Source organism: Homo sapiens, chromosome 12 (assembly GCF_000001405.40).
Source record: "Homo sapiens chromosome 12, GRCh38.p14 Primary Assembly".
Lineage (NCBI taxonomy): Eukaryota > Metazoa > Chordata > Mammalia > Primates > Hominidae > Homo > Homo sapiens.
Genome location: NC_000012.12, coordinates 123,971,480 through 123,987,251, shown reverse-complemented (window position 1 = coordinate 123,987,251; position 15,772 = coordinate 123,971,480). Strand labels below are relative to the sequence as shown.

Below are 15,772 nucleotides of genomic sequence, written 5' to 3'. Positions count from 1 at the left end.
ATCTACATGTGGATGGGACATTTACATGTTTTTCTAGCTGTTGTCAATCTGGGGACAGTGCTGGATTACAGTATGCCTCTACAGCTCCCCAGAGCTTTGGGGGAAAGGATTATGTGAAAGGCATGTGGTTAGAATGATCCATCTTGCTAATAGCTATCTGAAGTTGCTATATCATTTTCAGCAGAAATCACTAACATTAGAAATAGAGTCCTGTAGACTATGCTGAGTGGCCCTGCACTGTCAGAGACTGAATAAAACAGGAAGAAAATGGAAAAGTGAAAATGCTTTCAACACATTTAGCTATTTTAGTTTCTCTGTGGGAATAAAGGTTCAACTTAGAATGAAAGCTGTTAGCAGGATAATATTTTAAAGGGCAGGAATACATTTGGAGGAATTTCAAGTGGTCTTGATATTGGGCCAGGTTTTTTCCTCCCTTACTGAACTATACATGCCAATCATGGTGCCTGCTAGCCTACAAATCCTACTAATGGGAACTGCTTCAGCTTTAAGGGTAGGCCCAGGCAGCCATCGGCCACATGACCACTTCTGAGACCAAGTGCAGACATCTGACCCAAGAGCTTAACTCTGACATATGATGTGGCTTGGAACAACAATAAAAGCAAAACAAAATCAGATTCCCTCTCTCTCAGGAATCTAAGCAATACTGAGAGAATGAGGTTATCAGCTGTGAGAGATGAAGCTGAGAGGTTATGATCCGCAAAATGACTGCGGAGGTCATCAAATCACAGCAAACCAAACTCATGAGGAAGTAGAATCTATAAGCAAGGAGGAGCTAAAAGGTTAGAAAAGACATACAGAGGAGGGAAAAACAAGCCAGATGGCAGCAAGAGGAGAAAGACACAAAGAAATGAGTGATGCCGTGAGAGACCTCACTGTCCATGGGAAGACTGTGGCTTGTCTCTGGACAGCCTGAGTTCCTCATGGGTCTGATCCACATGCATCCTCCAATATAGCCCCTTGTACAGAAAGTGGTCTGAATGAAACTCTGTTCTTTGCAACAAAAAATCCCTAACTAAAACACTTCCTTCAACTCCCCCTTAAGATGAAGTTTTCCCAGGAGGTGCCTCAGTGCCACAAACAAACAGATTCTGGGCAAGCCCACCCCCTCCAGCCCCCCGCCAGACATGCCTAGACATACCCAATGTCCACTTCCCAGCAGAACTGGGATGTCTTATCTCTAGGTATATAGGCACAGTCCCTAAGGCTCATGAGCATCTCGAAGACCTATGTAAATGTTTCAGATCTGAAAAAAAACATTACTGGATGCAAAACATGAAAAGAAAATTGCAAAATTAAAGTTAATAAATGTTAAATGTCTATAGCCAATCAAAGCTTAACTCATATGGTTTTGTACAAGCTAATTTTATGTGGGACATGGGTGATTTAATGTTTGATATGACATAGTAAAGGCCTCCAAAAGTTTAATGGCTTAAGGCCTTCACAGATCTTCGCACCAGTCCCACAGCAGCGGACGTGTTTGGGCCTAAGCTGGAACCTGCCATTCCACCCCTTGGATAAGTGTATGCTTAAACTGTACGCCTGGCCGCTCAAACTGGGCACTCAGTCTAAAGTGAGAGGTCAAATCCCACCTCCCAGATTTAAACACAGTTATTTTACCACTTCTGATATTAGGAATCTGTTATCTTTTCTTAACGAAATATTTTAAATAAGTGAAGCCAAATAACTTCTATTAGCCATACTATTAGTTTTACCAAGAAGTTTTTTAAAATGTCATTTATGATAGCAAATGGTCTCATAGATTTAAAGGATTTAACATTTGACGTGTGTCAGAATAGTAAATCAAAAATCAGTCACATTTACTCTCTCCTGCAAGAACTCCCTCAAATGTCATGAATAGACCTAGACATTTTCTTCCTTCTGGTCAGATTCTCAATCTGAGAAGAGTAGGAAGTGGCACAAAAGTTACATGAAACTTAGATCTTATATTCTGAGATGATGGTGTTAAAAACAAAAAAGCAAAAATAATCCTTTCTAGAGTCATTGTTGATTACAGCTCTAATTTCATATGCACAGATAAGTGACATGTGTTCTCTGGAGCCATCCCCCGACTAAGACCAATTCACTCTTCTCACTTTCACTACTGAGCTCCTCCACAGCATCTATAATACCTTCTGTGTGCACCTCCCACACACCATTCTGTACCCCCACCCCCACTACAAAACTGCTCTCAGAGTCAAATCTTGGGGCCGTTCCTCCTGCCTCACCCTGAATCCTAGTCTACGGTCTCCTCGGCTCCCAGTTCCCTGCACATTCTCACTTTTCCTCTGGCCTTGCTGATTGTGTCTGCCATCTCACATGCCTATGCCTAAATATAGGAGTCCTCCATACAGTATGTCCTGTCTCCATTTTTTAGCTCAACTACCTGCTTGGCTGGAATGATGACCATTTCCATGATGATGATGCCACAGTTTCTTAACACAGTCTTTTCTTCTTACCTGTATCTCCAACTGCCTACTAGAATTATTTCCCCATCATCCCACGATAAACTGAAAATCACTACTTTGACAAACTCAAAGTCCCTATAAAAGGCAACTTCTTCCCTCAACAGATCTCCCAGGCAAAGAACTTTGAAACCAACTCTCTCCTCCTCCCCGGCCCCCACACCCCTTTCAACTGTTTTCTTTCTGTGCTTGTTTCTTCCCTTCAGCATTTAAACACAATGCAGAAGTCTCCCCCAACCTTAAGGAAAAACAGCATTTAATCCCAGGCCTTCTCTAGCTACCCTGTCTCCCTGGCCCCACCCTCCATTTCCCCATCCAGACCTCTTAAAGACTGATTTTTCCAGATTTCTATTGCTTCACTTCCCACTCATGCCTCAATCCAACACCACACCACCGAGGTTCCTCTCTCATTGTCGGCCTTCTCTTGGCCAATCCAAGGGCACTTTTTGTTCTTTATCCCACTGGACATTACTGGCCACACTCCCTTGGCTCCTTCTGTGACCCTACGGCCTCTGTGTTCTACACTCACTGCATAAACCCAGTATTATCAGTTGGCCGGGCAAGCTCTTGTAAACACTAGTTCATTCCCATGAGTTCCATCTCCCCTCTCCTCTGCTCCTAACATCCACACCAGTTTCAACCATCTCGCCCACTGGTTCTCAACTCTGGCTGTGAAAGAAAGCTTTGCTAGGAGTCCACATTTCAACTGTTCACAAGGCCTCCAGAGGGCACTCAAACACCTGCTCAGAAACCTCGGCTCTTCACACTAAGGAGTTAGGACTTGAAATCAATGTCACAATGGGTTACTACCTCTAGTTGCCAAGCATCATGAAAATGCATGCAACCCGCTTTGTGCAGGTTCTCTGATTCTAACTGTGAGTCTGGAGGCTTACCACAAGGTCCTAGTCCTATCACAATGTAAAGTTATAGTATTAAAAGTAATTTATTGAACATCGGTTAACTGAGAAACTTGACATGTTTTCTAGCCAACACCGAGTACTTTGAATCAATGAAATATTCTTAAACCCCCATCAGGCTCAATCCTAAACATATTTGAACTACACATCCAAAAGTGATATTTTGAAAGCCAGAGGGACATACAGGATTTACTCTGCAGAAGAAAAATGGTTCCAATTATTTCTATGAACTGTTGTATTGTTAACCTAAGTGGCAGAGTTCATCATCTTTGGGACAGGGGTCTGCTCTGGCTATAAAGGCTTCCTCACAAGCTCTGTCACAATATCATAGAACACACTGCAAAATAAGATATGGAAATAACCTATGATTATTTTATGAACTTTCAGGGGTATGAAAAATAAATGAGTTCTAGAATAGCTTTACTGAATTTCTTATAATGTATCAAGTGACACAAGAGACACTGTGTATTTCAGAATCAGAATAAAGGTGTAGAAATGTTTTAGCGTTAAAAAGCAATACGAATTATATTTTTAAAATTACATTTTGAATGCTTCTGCTACATCTTCAAAATTAAATTGTATTTTAAAAATTCTCTTCTTTCAGTGTCTTACAAATGAGTAATCATAGCCATTGGTTCCACCTTGTGACTCTCCCACATGGATTAGCTGTAGCACAACTTGCTTGCTTTCTTTTTTTATTTTTTTGAGACAGGGTCTCGCTCTGTCACCCAGGCTGGAGTACAGTGGCGTGATCATGGCTCACTACAGCCCTGCCTTCCAGTGATGCTCCCACCTCAGCCTCTTAAGTAGCTGGAACCACAGGTGTGTGCCACCATGCCTGGCTAATTTTTGTATTTTTGGTAGAGACGGGGTTTTGCCATGTTGCCCAGGCTGGTCTCAAACTCCCAGCCTCAAGCCATCTGCCTGCCTTGGCCCCTCAAAGTGCTGGGATTACAGGCATGAGCCACCATGCCCAGTAGACACAACTTTCAACCTGGGCTGAAAGACTTCAATTTGCTAAATCTAAGATTCACTCCTGATCCCTTTATTACATCTCTAGGCCGTTTGAAACTACTGCTCCTGTCCATTCTTGAAACTTTCTAACTTCCAGGACGTCTCTCCTGAGTGTCCTCGTCTGCACTCCCTTCTAGCCAGTCCACCAGGCTCACACTAAATGAATCTGCTCCTGTAAGCGCTGCAACAGTAAAACCGATACGGTGAGCGTGGAACCCAAGCTAAGCCAATCAGATTGTCCTTCTAGAGAATTTGGAATTGGGAAGTGGGAAGTGGAAAGACTGGGTCTGTGATGTGAGCTGGCAGAAGTTAGAGTTTCAGAATGGCCTTCCAGAGTGACCACCTGGGGTCACGTGTTATTTACTGCCAAGCGAGAGAAGAGATTAGGGGGAGGGCAGGCACACATAGAAGCATAGGGCAGACACACAGTGAGCAGGAGAAGCCTGGGAGATGAAGGCAAAGAGCACAGCCACACTGACTGCCACCAACTTCCCAGCGACTGGGCCCCAACCTCTGATGAAGACATCTACCTTCCTCTCTAATGACTTCTGTTACCTTGGCAGGCACTTTCTCCGCTACCTTTTCTCCACTTGTCCTTCAAGGTACCCATGCTCCAGCCATACTATTAACAGCCAGGTGGGCACTCACACATGGATGAAAGGGCACCACTCTGCCTATTTCCTGGCCTGCCCCTACGTGGAAGGGACCAGTTTACCAAGATGAAGAGAAATCACTCCCAGAAGTCAGGTGTACTCTGACAACAGGATGACTGACAAAAGGACCACTAATGCCCAGAGGAACCTCCACCACCCACTCAGAGAGGCAAGAGTCTACCCAATGAACCCCAAAGACAATCATGGTATTATCTGAAGTCGAGGTCATGCAGTCTCAAATAATTCTATGTGAAAAATATCAATGGTCCAGTCTATCTAGACAGATATGCCCCAATTTACAGAAGTACAACTATATTGCAAGAAAAATTTACCATGTAGAAATATTGATTTTAATACCATAGCTATGTATAGTATCTAGTCATTCTTACAGCAAAACATGTGTACTGTAAAATTATTCTTTGTAAATCCTCTTCGTGACACACCTATGTGTCCTATAAGACCTTCAAACTCAAGTACATCCAAAACTGAATCAGTCACTTCCTCACCAAAGCCTACTATATTCCTGTCTTAATCTGTTTTCTATTGCTTACAAGAGAATACCTGAAACTGGATAATTTATGAAGAAATTTATCTCTTACAGTTATGGAGGCTGAAAAAGCCCAGGACCACATCTGGTGACAGCTCTCCTGCTGGTGGGGACTCTCCAAAGAGCCCTGAGCCGGCACAGGGCATCACACGATGAGAGGGGGCTGAGCATGTTAACATGCTGTCTCAGATCTCTTTTCTTTTTATAAAGCCCCCAGGTCCCCTCCCATGACAACCCATTAATCTATGAATGGCTCTGCCCTCATGAGCCAAACCTCTGAAAGGCCCCACCTCTCAACACTGTCACATTGGGGATTAAGTTTCAACATGAGTTTTGGAGGGGACAAATATTCAAACCATAGCCAATTCCCAACTATAGTAAATGAGTCCACTCTCCCCTCAATTGCCCAAGTCAATATCATTGACTTCCCCCCATCACAAAGGTCTAGCCACTCTCTTCCAAATACCTCTGGAAACTCTCCACTGTGTACCTGCATTGTCTCAACTTAACTCAAGCCACCATCATCTTCCCTGGAATTCTACAAAAGCCTCCAGTCTTGCTTCCCTCTAATCCATTATCTACTCTAATGTAACCTTCTAAAATGCAAAATGGATTGTTCTTACCCTACTCACAAGTTTTCAATGGGTCCCAATCATTTTCAGTGTAAATTCCAAATTTATTCATTGGCTTTAACCAAAAAAAAAAGTGCTCATGTCTATTTGCCATGTAGCTATCATGTCCCAGATATACTTTGTTAAATCAAATGTTCCATCATACATGTAATACAGGTACATGTAATCTTGGCAAATACAAAAAAGATTATTTAAATCACCCGACATCCTACCGAATTCCACAATTCTTAAGATTTCCATCTAATTTCTTCTACATATTTTTGCCATTCATAGGTTTTACTGGAAGGCTGCTGGGACTTTTTTTGGGGCGTTTTCATCATATCAGGTATACAATTGTGTATCCTGATTTCCTTCCACTTAACACTATCATAAGCATTTTAATATATTTTCTTCATAAACGTTTTTAATGGCAATGTTATTTGCCACTAAATATATGATATAGGGGATGTATCATAACCATTCTGCAAACTGTGCCCATAAATATAATTCTACAATATACATATTTTGTGCAGAAAGCTTTTCTCTGTATTTAAAAATATTCTTTTGATGGTTCCTAGACCATCAAGAAATGTAAATAATTTTAAGACTCTTGACACATATGGCCAATGTAACATAAGAGTGTGTCATTTTTACCACATCCTTTTAGGTACTAGGCACTGTATATTTTTGTCTAAATCTAGACCTTCATGAAATTGGTGAGAAATTGTAACATCTTCCTTACAAAAGTAAATGCCCATTGTAAAAAAAACTGAAGCAATGCAAACACATGTGATATGAAAAACCAGTCTCCCCTAGGCTTTTCCCATGAAGTAATCAGAATTAAATGTTTTCAGGTATTCTAGTCTTTTTCTAATTCTTATTCAGAATATATATATATACACACACTCACCCTTCATTATTTTGTTTTGTATCTTACAAAAAATGAGATTAAGCTTGCTTTTTTGGCTCAACAGTATATTCTAGACATCCATACAGGCTATGTCAGTACATACAAATCTACCTCTCTATATAAAAAACTAATAGGCTAGACATGGTGGCTCATGCCTGTAATCCCAACACTTTGGGAGGCCAAGGCGGGAGGATCACTTGAGGCCAGGAGTTCAAGACTGGCCTGGGTAACGTGGTGAGACTCCGTCTCTACAAAAAAAATTTAAAAATCAGCCAGGTGTAGTGGTGTGTGTGTGTGTGTGTGGTCCCAGCTACTTGAGAGGCTGAGGCAGATCACTTGAGCCCAGGAGGCTGAGGCTACACTGAACCACATTCCGTACCACTGCACTCCAGCCTAGGCAACAGAGCAAGACCCTGTCTCAAAACAAAACAAACAAAAAATCCCACAAAAAACAAAACGCTACTTGATATTCCACAGTATATGGGTACCAAAATTTATTGTGATTATCTTCAATTTTTCATTATAAATGACGCTGCAATAGACATTGTTTATATTAACGTATGTTCTCCTATGAAAATAGCACAGATTCCTTGAAGTGTAGCTGCTAAATCAACGTGTACTTTTATTTTGATAAAATTCTGCCAAAATTGCCATCTAAAAACTTGGAAAAATTTTATGTCCCAACAATGTATTAGGTGCCTCTTTTACATCGCTGGATAGTTTTTAATTTTTGCCTGATGCCCTCCTCCCAACAAAAAAATCTAGTTTTTAAATTTCCATTCTCTTAATCACAATGAGGTTGAATTTCTCTTCACTGTTTGAACACATTTATCTAAGAACTATTCATATCCTCAATTCATTACCTAATTTGTTAATTCTATTTATTCTTTATACATGCTACAGGTTGTTTTCCCAGTCTGTCACTCTGTAACGCTTTTTGTCACAGAATTATCAACTGTGATTATAGTCAAATTTATCAATCCTTTCATTTATGATTTTAGGTCTTGGTCTTACCTAAATGGCCTACCTAAAACACATCATTTCCAGTGTATCCTTCTACATAACAAATTCTCTTATATTTCCTTCTAATGCTTTTATAGGTTTTTTTAGTTAGTTCCTTAATCCATCTAAGTTATTTTGAATGTGAAGTAGGATCTTTCTTTCTAAATAAAGAGCCACTTATCCCTATACAACACACTGAATTATAATTTCCCAACTGTTGCAAAACACCAACTTTATCATATACTAAATTCTGATATAAAAATGGGTCTGTTACTGGATTCTACTTTGCTCCAGGCGTCAATCTGTCTATTCTTGTGTTCACCATTTATATTACTGCAGCATTTCAGTATGCTTTGACTTCTCATATAGCAAATCCCCCAACACTACTTTTCCATTAAAAACGTTTGTCATTTTTTGGCCATTCTAGGACATTTACTCCTATAAAAGAGTTTTAGAAGCAATTTATCTAGTGTCCAGAAGAATTCCCACTGGGATTTCAATTGTAATTACATTGAAATCATAGTTTAATTTGGAGGTACTGCAATCTACAATGATGCCTTCCCCTCCAGGAACAAGTCTGCCCATTTATTTAGGTTAGCTTTTAAATCATTTAGGTAAAAGTTTTTACTTCTCTTCATAAAGCTTTGGTACATTTATGTCTTACTTGTAAATGTTTTCTAGTTTTGCTGCTATTCAGAACAGAATCTAACTTTTCTATACGGTAATTAGTGATTTGATTATTAATGAATTACACAGCTTTTCCAATGTTTCACAAGTTATATTTCTATCCAGCGAACTGTCTATTCACATCCTATAACCACCTGTGTGTGGATCTTCATTATTTTCTTCACCAATTTGGATGAGTTCTTTGCATATTGAAAATACTAACTCTTAGCTTATCATTTGCCACAAATATTTTCCACTTTATGATTCGGGTTTTTTTTTTCCCTTCTCTTCCTAAAGAATAAATTTTTATGTAGTCTAATACACTAATTTTTAATTATTATTTTCTCTATTGTTTCTAATAGCAGCAGCTACTTACAGATTTGAGTGCCCTGTAGGTGCCTGGCCCTTTATCTCTTACTCTCATAACACCTGCAAAGTGGGGATAATTTTCCTCACTTAAAAGATTCCAGTTTAGACACATCTGAGTCTAAAGCATGTGCTCCATCCACCTTAGCATGTAAAACTCCTCTTTCCAGATGTTTAATATTTACTTACATTTTCTTTAGACTCAGGGGGCATTTGTGATGATTTCATTATTATTTATGACATTTCCATATAAAAAAGTTTATTTCTGGGGTGCTGAATAAGTTCCATTGACCTGTATGGATATTTTACAGCCAGAACGATACTGTTTTAATGAATGTGGCTCTATAATATGTTTAAATATATTTGTCTCACCTCATTACTCATAAGTATTCTACCACGTTCACCCCAAAATGAGCATCTCCATAACATGCAGACATCACAGCCCGGAAGATGGCCTCTCTTTCCGTTCAAGGTACCCCTTCAGACCTTTCAGGATACTTTATGGTCTCCTCCACAGAGTGCACACTTGACTCTATAAGGTTGTGCCTACACGGTTCACTTGTTTTGCTGCAACCTGGTCAGAGCCAGTTTCTTGTTTAGGGTTTTTTTTTTTTTTTTTTGGCCATTTTAGGTTCTAGTAGGTTATTTCTGGTATTCAGAAAGCTATTAATTTTATACATATACTAATACATGGTCACTCCATCAATTTTTTTGTCTAATAATTTTTGTTATTGTTTTCATAGTCAATAGCATCTACAAATATTTCCCTTCATTTTAGAGCCTCACTTCACTCCTATCTCACATATTACCGCTTTGTCAAAACATACAAACCTTGTTAAATAATGTCCCAATTTTTAATTTGACTCTCTGATACTTTTAAGTATAGACAACTAGTTTAACATTTATGTGTACTTTTTGCATACCAAGTACCTTTTTATTGCTTTTATTTATCCCCACTTCTTAAAAATTAGAAACAAGGATTTGTGGGGGTTTTGTTTGTTTTGTGAGACAGTCTCCCTCTGTTGCCCAGGCTGGAGTGCAGTGGCATGATCTCCGCTCACTGCAAGCTCCACCTCCCGGGTTCACGCCATTCTCCTGCCTCAGCCTCCCGAGTAGCTGGGAATACGGGTGCCTGCCACCACGCCCAGCTAATTTTTTGTATTTTTAGTAGAGACAGGGTTTCACCGTGTTAGCCAGGATGGTCTCGGTCTCCTGACCTCATGATCCACCTGCCTCCCAAAGTGCTGGGATTACAGGTGTGAGCCACTGTGCATGGCCAGGATCTTTTTTTTTTTTAATCAAACATTGATTTGACCTTAGTGTAGCTGGTAACGTGAGGTCAATGTGAATTCCAAGGGAAAGCTCACGTCTCTTCCAGGCAGCCCTCTGAGATGGCCAACCTGGTCTCCCCACTTCTACTCTCCACCCCCAACACGCCCCCACATCTTGCATGCAACGACTAGAGTGGCTGTTTAAAGATACAAATCTGATTATGTCACTCCTCTTCGTAAATCCCAACCCATATCATGGTTTCCCATTTCACTCGGGATAAAATACAACCACTTTAACCTGCCCTACATGACCCTACTTGATCTGGCCCCTGGCCTAGCCACTCTTCCCCTTCACCTCCATAGTCTATCCACATTCATTCTTTCAGTTCCTGGAATGGGCAAAGCTTTTTCCCCACTTTGAGGCCTTCCCACATGCTGTTCCTCTGCCTGGAAAATTATCCCCCACTTTCCTCCACACTAACACCTACGCACTCTTCAAATCTCAGCTTAAATCTTATTTATACAGAAAAGTCTTTCCTAGGCCCCTTCTCTCCACTCTAAAATTTGGTCTCCCCTTTTTTATACTCCCTCATAGCAGGTGCTTCTTAACTTTCACAGCAGATACCAGTTTGTGATCATACGTGTAGTTGTGATTGTGTTTAAATTCCAATCCCCCTCACAAATCATAAGCTTCAAGAGAACAAAATAAGTTGATTTTGCTGGCCACACTACAGGCACTCATATATATCTGAAAGAAAGAAAAATACATAAAAAGCCCCTAATCGTATCTCATACATCTTAAAATGTTACCCATCACATCATTCAATCATTATTCAAATGATTAAAATATTAAATCTCAATATTAAAACTCTGATGCAGCCTGCAAATTTAGTAACAATCCCTTTTCCCTGAAGGACATAAAAGCTAATCTGAATCTGCTGCTGCCACAGAAAAATACATGTACAACTTACAACTCTAAGGAAATAAGCTTAAATATTATAGTGCGAGTATTGTCTAGTGTTCAGTTTGCTAATATGTTTATTCACAGTCAACTAATTTATATGCCTTATTTTTTAAGGTATGTAAAACCACTAGGGGCTGGGCACAGTGGCTCACACCTGTAATCCCAACACTTTGGGAGGACTGCTTTAGGCCAGGAGTTTGAGACCAGTTGGGGCAAGATAGTAAGAGCCTGTCATTACAAAAATAAAATAAATCAGCCAGGTGTGGTGGCACATGGTTGTAGTCATTCCTAACTACTGGGGAGGCTGAGGCACAAGGATCACTTGAGCCCAGGAGTCCCAGGCTGCAGTGAACTAGAATCATGCCACTACACTCCAGCCACGGCAACAGAAAGAGACCCTATCTCTCTCTCTTTTTTTTTTTTTTTAATGAAGAGGAAGAAAAGAAAGCCCTAGGAAAAAATGCTTTGCAAAATATTGTTAAGAAGACTAATGTATTGTCAGTACTTGATAAAAATTAATTTAAAAAGTCACAAATTAAAAAGCATTCAAAGTTGACTATCTGTAGTGCTCTGTGATATGATACACACACATCTGGTCAAAAAATATAAATGATATTGCAAATAATTTTTGGATCACAAAGGCTAATAAAACCAACCTTTATATATACTACTTTACATTCCACAACACATACGCACTGTATCACTGAACTCTATGGAGCAGACAGAGCAGGCCATTTACAGAAAAGAAAACCGAGGTTTGGTGTGATTCAATGTCCTCCCCAAGGTCACACAACTTCTAACTGCTAGAGTCAGAACTACCATAGGGGAGGGGTGGCTGCTTCCACATATCAATTTCTTAACCAAAAGAGAACTTCATCATAAATGCCGAATCTCGATAATTAGCGTAGATCTGTGCTCCTATCACCGAAATTTCATCTCATCAGAGAACCACCACCAGCAAAAAAGCTGTTTTAAAGTTAAAACTTAAACTGCTATCAATTTGGGAAATGGCTAAACCATGATATACTGAAACTATGGAACATGGTGCAGCAGTTGTTAAAAAATGACTTGAAGCATTACATGCTAACATTGAAAGTTACGGTGCAACAGTCCTTGTTAAAGCAGTCAAAAATGATGTTAAGTGCACACACGTAAAAGTACTCCAAAAGATCTAGAAGGATAAACACCACACACATAATAGTCGGCATCCCTGAAGACAGAGGTTGATAGTCAAAGACAAAATGCCATCTCTGTGATATGCTGTTTTTACAAAGAAAATGTACTACTCTGCTAATTTAGAATTAATTTTTAAATTTTTAATTAACCTGCGGGTTGAACAAGGTCAATTTCCTGCTCTAAAAAACTATGCGTCTATGAAGGAAATAGGAGCCCTCTCTAAATAAGAAGCCAAAATGCCTAAAAACCGTTCCAGCCTGTGAAAACAATAAACTGTAAATATCAGAAAACGTTCCTTGAAGAAGGCAATAGCTCAGAAATCTTTTTTCGGTATCTGGTCTCCTTTGTTGCAATAAGACAGCCCGTAAGCAATCTAGCAACCAGAACAGTTCAGTTCGGAGCAGGCTCCCGGGGAGATTTAGTTGTTAGAGTTCGGCAAGAAAGGTTTCACAAAGGAGCTGAGTTCTGGGGGAAATGAGAGGTGATGTGGCGGAGAGATGGATCCGGACGGGAAAATGTCTGGGAGGGGGTATACGGAGTTCATGAGAAGCCGGGGACAGTGAGAAAACTGCAGTCGAGTCCTGGAAGGGGTGAGAACGCCTGCGGAGGCGGGAGTCAGAGGGAAGTGGACAGCGCCGGCAGCCGGTTTACCTGGGTGAGAATCCGGCCCTTGTTGTGGTCAAACAATGGAGGCGTCCGGCGGCAGCAGCCTTCTGCGCTGGGTGCGCGAGGGGTTCCTCATCACCTGAGCGGGATGCTCGCCTCCTCTGCCGGACGCAGGGCGCCCTGAAAAACACACAGCACCCCATGCAGCCGGCTCCTCCGCAGCCGCCCGGCTCCCCGGTCCCCTGGCGCGGCCATGACCGCCTCTCCCGGGACCCGCCTGGAAGGGCTCCAAGACGCGGCTCCACGGGCGACGAGGGCGGCAGCGCTCCCCCTTCCCTCGGCTCCAACAACAATGGAGCCTGGCTCGGGAGTCCGGCTCCCGAGGGGCCTCGCCCGGCCTCGCCCTGCCCGCTGCCCAGCCCTCGCTCGCACCGGCCGCCATCTGCGCCCCCCGGCCCCGCTCCCCCGCACTGCGGGCCCGCGGCCGACCGCCCGAGGCCCGAGGGGCGGCTTCTCAGCCCGGGACCCGCCAGGCTGCGCGGAGCCGCTCTGACCTTCCCCGCCATCCCGAGGCCCATCCTCCGGGATGGGTTGTTTTTCTTTTCTTTAAGCCACTCCACCTCCTTCCCACCCCCAGCCCGCTCCCTGGCCCCCGGCCCCCGCCTCCCTCCGGGAAAGAAAGAAAGACTGCAGCCCGGCCGCCGAGAACTCACTCCAAGTGAGGGGAGTCAGCGCCCCAGGCCGCGGGCGCCGCGCACCCACCTCCCTCTCCTCAGGGACACCTCACAGGTGCGCCTCCGAGCCGCGCGCGCGCGCGCTCCGCACACCCAGACGCCTCCGGGGGACAGCGCGCGTGCGCACGCACGAGGCCGGGGAAGCCCCGGGGGAGCGGGGGCCGCACGCATGCGCGGCCACCCGGCCCGCGCCCCCACCGCCCGCCTCCGCCCCCGCCCCCCAGCCCCGGCCCGGTCGGGCCCGGCCATCCCCCACCCCAGCGCCCGGCGCGCGCGCTCCCGCTCGCCTCCCTCGCTCCTCCCCGCGCCCCCCCCTCCCTCGGGCCGCGTTACCCAGGGCAACCGCAGTGCGGCCGCACCTGAGCTGTGCGCCTGCGTCCCGCGGGCCCGACCCTCCCTTCCCCTCGGCCTTCGCCCCTGCCCCGCCACAGCCGGGCGGAAGGGGGCGTAGCCCCGCCTCGCCAAGTGAATATCGGCCCGCCGCCCCCGCCCAGCCCGGCAGACACAGGCCCGCCGCCGCGCCGGCGCCTAGCCCGCCGGGTCAGCGCGGCCAGGCCTCGCCGCCGGCCCCGCTCCCAGGGTGCACCGCGGCTAGCGCTGGGGTGGGAGCGGGCGAGATGCGCCGGGCGGGCGGTGCCCACTGACCTCCCTCGGCGGCCCGGCCCGGGCAGCGCCCGAGCCCAGGCAGCCCCGCCCGCCGCGCCCCGCCCAGCCCATGGGCCACGGGCCCCCACCGCCGCCCGCCGGGAGGACCGAGCCTAAGAGGGCAGCCGCCTGAAGGAACGCGACGGCGGCGCCCGCAGGTGAGGCGGGGCCCGGGGTGTGTCGAGTCCGGCCCCGCTCACCTGGCAGCGCCGGCGGGGGCGGAGGGGCCGGGCAGGGGCGGAGGGGCCGGGCAGGGACGGGAGTTCGTGGCGAAGACTTTAAAAACCCTCCCCGCCGGGAGACGGGGGACGGGGTCCTCCTGCCCCACCTCCGGGGCTTGGGAGCCACGTTAGCTCCCCCAGGGGCAGGGGTGGCCCCGGGCGAAGGCAACTCGGGAGACGGCGGAGTCGGGGAAAGAGGGTCCCTGAGGCTCGGCGACCCCCGCGCCCGCCCCCGCGGGGTCTGCCGGCCCTTTCTGGGGAGGGGGCTCCCCGGCCCGGGCTCCAGTCCAGGGTGCGGACCGGCCGCGGCGCGCGCCCACCCCAGTGCCAAGGGGGAGGAGAGGCCGGTCCCGGGGCGCTCCTGTCTGCCCCGGGGTGGGATCGCAGGGCGAGGGATCCGCATTGCAGGTGCACCAGGAGCGCCCCGGGGCCTAGCCCGGCTTTGTCTGGGATGCTGTGGGGAGGAGGCCGTCTGAATCCACATCGCCTTTTTAAATGCTTGTTACCACCCGGGGAACCTTAGAGACCCTCCCTGACAAGTTGTATCGCCTCCCGTCCTGGTAGCCTTTCCGTAAGTACACTACCTTGCCAGCCCCTTCCTGAAGCTTTGATGCGGCTTTAGTTTACTCTGAGTAACGATTTGCCTGTGATTCGTGAAACGGAGCAGAATGCACAAACGCAGCAGAGCTCCAGGCTTGGCTACTGGGCTGCCGTCTGCTACGGCGAGTGAGTTTCTCTAACTTAGGTTTTCATGCTGACCTGTATTGTTTCATTTCAAGTTTTGGTATTTAGCAGTACGATCTAGTCCACTAAGGAAAATTAGGCTGCCAGAGAGAAAATATAACCGCGCTCTGTAGCTTAGGTTGCAGTAGTCGGTTTTATAACAAAATGCAAGCTACCACGCTGTAATACTTTAACATATTACGCAGTTCCAGAAACCTGTAAGAGTATTAAAACTAGGATTGCCATTTTAAAACTTTTACGTT

At 45.1% G+C, this 15,772-nt stretch overlaps 3 protein-coding genes across 16 annotated transcripts in view, besides 9 other annotated features; 1 reads left to right on the top strand and 2 right to left on the bottom strand.

The window, feature by feature from the left end:
• ZNF664-RFLNA (ZNF664-RFLNA readthrough) overlaps nucleotides 1–14,037 on the bottom strand; it is a 342,810-nt gene extending 328,773 nt beyond the window's left edge. Inside the window, exons 1-2 of one of the 2 annotated variants that reach the window (NM_001204299.3) lie at nucleotides 13,900–14,037; nucleotides 13,232–13,366 (exon numbers count right to left, since the gene is read on the bottom strand). The gene's annotated coding sequence lies outside the window, so the exon portion shown is untranslated. The remainder of the gene's footprint in view (nucleotides 1–13,231; nucleotides 13,367–13,899) is intronic. The other variant, NM_001347902.2, reaches the window with a different exon arrangement.
• ZNF664 (zinc finger protein 664) overlaps nucleotides 1–14,037 on the bottom strand; it is a 42,213-nt gene extending 28,176 nt beyond the window's left edge. Inside the window, exons 1-2 of one of the 2 annotated variants that reach the window (NM_152437.3) lie at nucleotides 13,900–14,037; nucleotides 13,232–13,366 (exon numbers count right to left, since the gene is read on the bottom strand). The gene's annotated coding sequence lies outside the window, so the exon portion shown is untranslated. The remainder of the gene's footprint in view (nucleotides 1–13,231; nucleotides 13,367–13,899) is intronic. The other variant, NM_001204298.2, reaches the window with a different exon arrangement.
• Nucleotides 2,920–2,989: an enhancer, noted in NCBI's record as "active region_7276". NCBI's record gives its function as "activates an Ori minimal core promoter by ATAC-STARR-seq in GM12878 lymphoblastoid cells {active_cell/tissue: GM12878}" and the evidence as "EXISTENCE:reporter gene assay evidence [ECO:0000049][PMID:35858748]".
• Nucleotides 3,180–3,239: a silencer, noted in NCBI's record as "silent region_5055". NCBI's record gives its function as "represses an Ori minimal core promoter by ATAC-STARR-seq in GM12878 lymphoblastoid cells {active_cell/tissue: GM12878}" and the evidence as "EXISTENCE:reporter gene assay evidence [ECO:0000049][PMID:35858748]".
• Nucleotides 13,469–13,698: a silencer, noted in NCBI's record as "silent region_5054". NCBI's record gives its function as "represses an Ori minimal core promoter by ATAC-STARR-seq in GM12878 lymphoblastoid cells {active_cell/tissue: GM12878}" and the evidence as "EXISTENCE:reporter gene assay evidence [ECO:0000049][PMID:35858748]".
• Nucleotides 13,809–13,888: a silencer, noted in NCBI's record as "silent region_5053". NCBI's record gives its function as "represses an Ori minimal core promoter by ATAC-STARR-seq in GM12878 lymphoblastoid cells {active_cell/tissue: GM12878}" and the evidence as "EXISTENCE:reporter gene assay evidence [ECO:0000049][PMID:35858748]".
• Nucleotides 13,959–14,828: a silencer, noted in NCBI's record as "silent region_5052". NCBI's record gives its function as "represses an Ori minimal core promoter by ATAC-STARR-seq in GM12878 lymphoblastoid cells {active_cell/tissue: GM12878}" and the evidence as "EXISTENCE:reporter gene assay evidence [ECO:0000049][PMID:35858748]".
• Nucleotides 13,959–14,978: a biological region, named in NCBI's record as "H3K27ac-H3K4me1 hESC enhancer GRCh37_chr12:124456863-124457600".
• Nucleotides 14,199–14,936: an enhancer, noted in NCBI's record as "H3K27ac-H3K4me1 hESC enhancer chr12:124456863-124457600 (GRCh37/hg19 assembly coordinates)". NCBI's record gives its function as "activates a minimal SCP1, AML or CMV promoter by ChIP-STARR-seq in naive H9 embryonic stem cells {active_cell/tissue: H9 hESC(naive)}" and the evidence as "EXISTENCE:reporter gene assay evidence [ECO:0000049][PMID:30033119]".
• CCDC92 (coiled-coil domain containing 92) overlaps nucleotides 14,421–15,772 on the top strand; it is a 37,206-nt gene continuing 35,854 nt past the window's right edge. For 9 of the 12 annotated variants that reach the window (NM_001304961.2, NM_001304957.2, NM_025140.3 and 6 more), the window contains exon 1: nucleotides 14,421–14,723. The gene's annotated coding sequence lies outside the window, so the exon portion shown is untranslated. Of the gene's footprint in view, nucleotides 15,513–15,772 lie in introns of all 12 variants that reach the window. The other 3 variants (NM_001304959.2, NM_001304960.2, XM_024449199.2) reach the window with 2 other exon arrangements.
• Nucleotides 14,859–14,978: a silencer, noted in NCBI's record as "silent region_5051". NCBI's record gives its function as "represses an Ori minimal core promoter by ATAC-STARR-seq in GM12878 lymphoblastoid cells {active_cell/tissue: GM12878}" and the evidence as "EXISTENCE:reporter gene assay evidence [ECO:0000049][PMID:35858748]".
• Nucleotides 14,937–15,674: an enhancer, noted in NCBI's record as "OCT4-NANOG-H3K27ac-H3K4me1 hESC enhancer chr12:124456125-124456862 (GRCh37/hg19 assembly coordinates)". NCBI's record gives its function as "activates a minimal SCP1, AML or CMV promoter by ChIP-STARR-seq in naive and primed H9 embryonic stem cells {active_cell/tissue: H9 hESC(naive and primed)}" and the evidence as "EXISTENCE:reporter gene assay evidence [ECO:0000049][PMID:30033119]".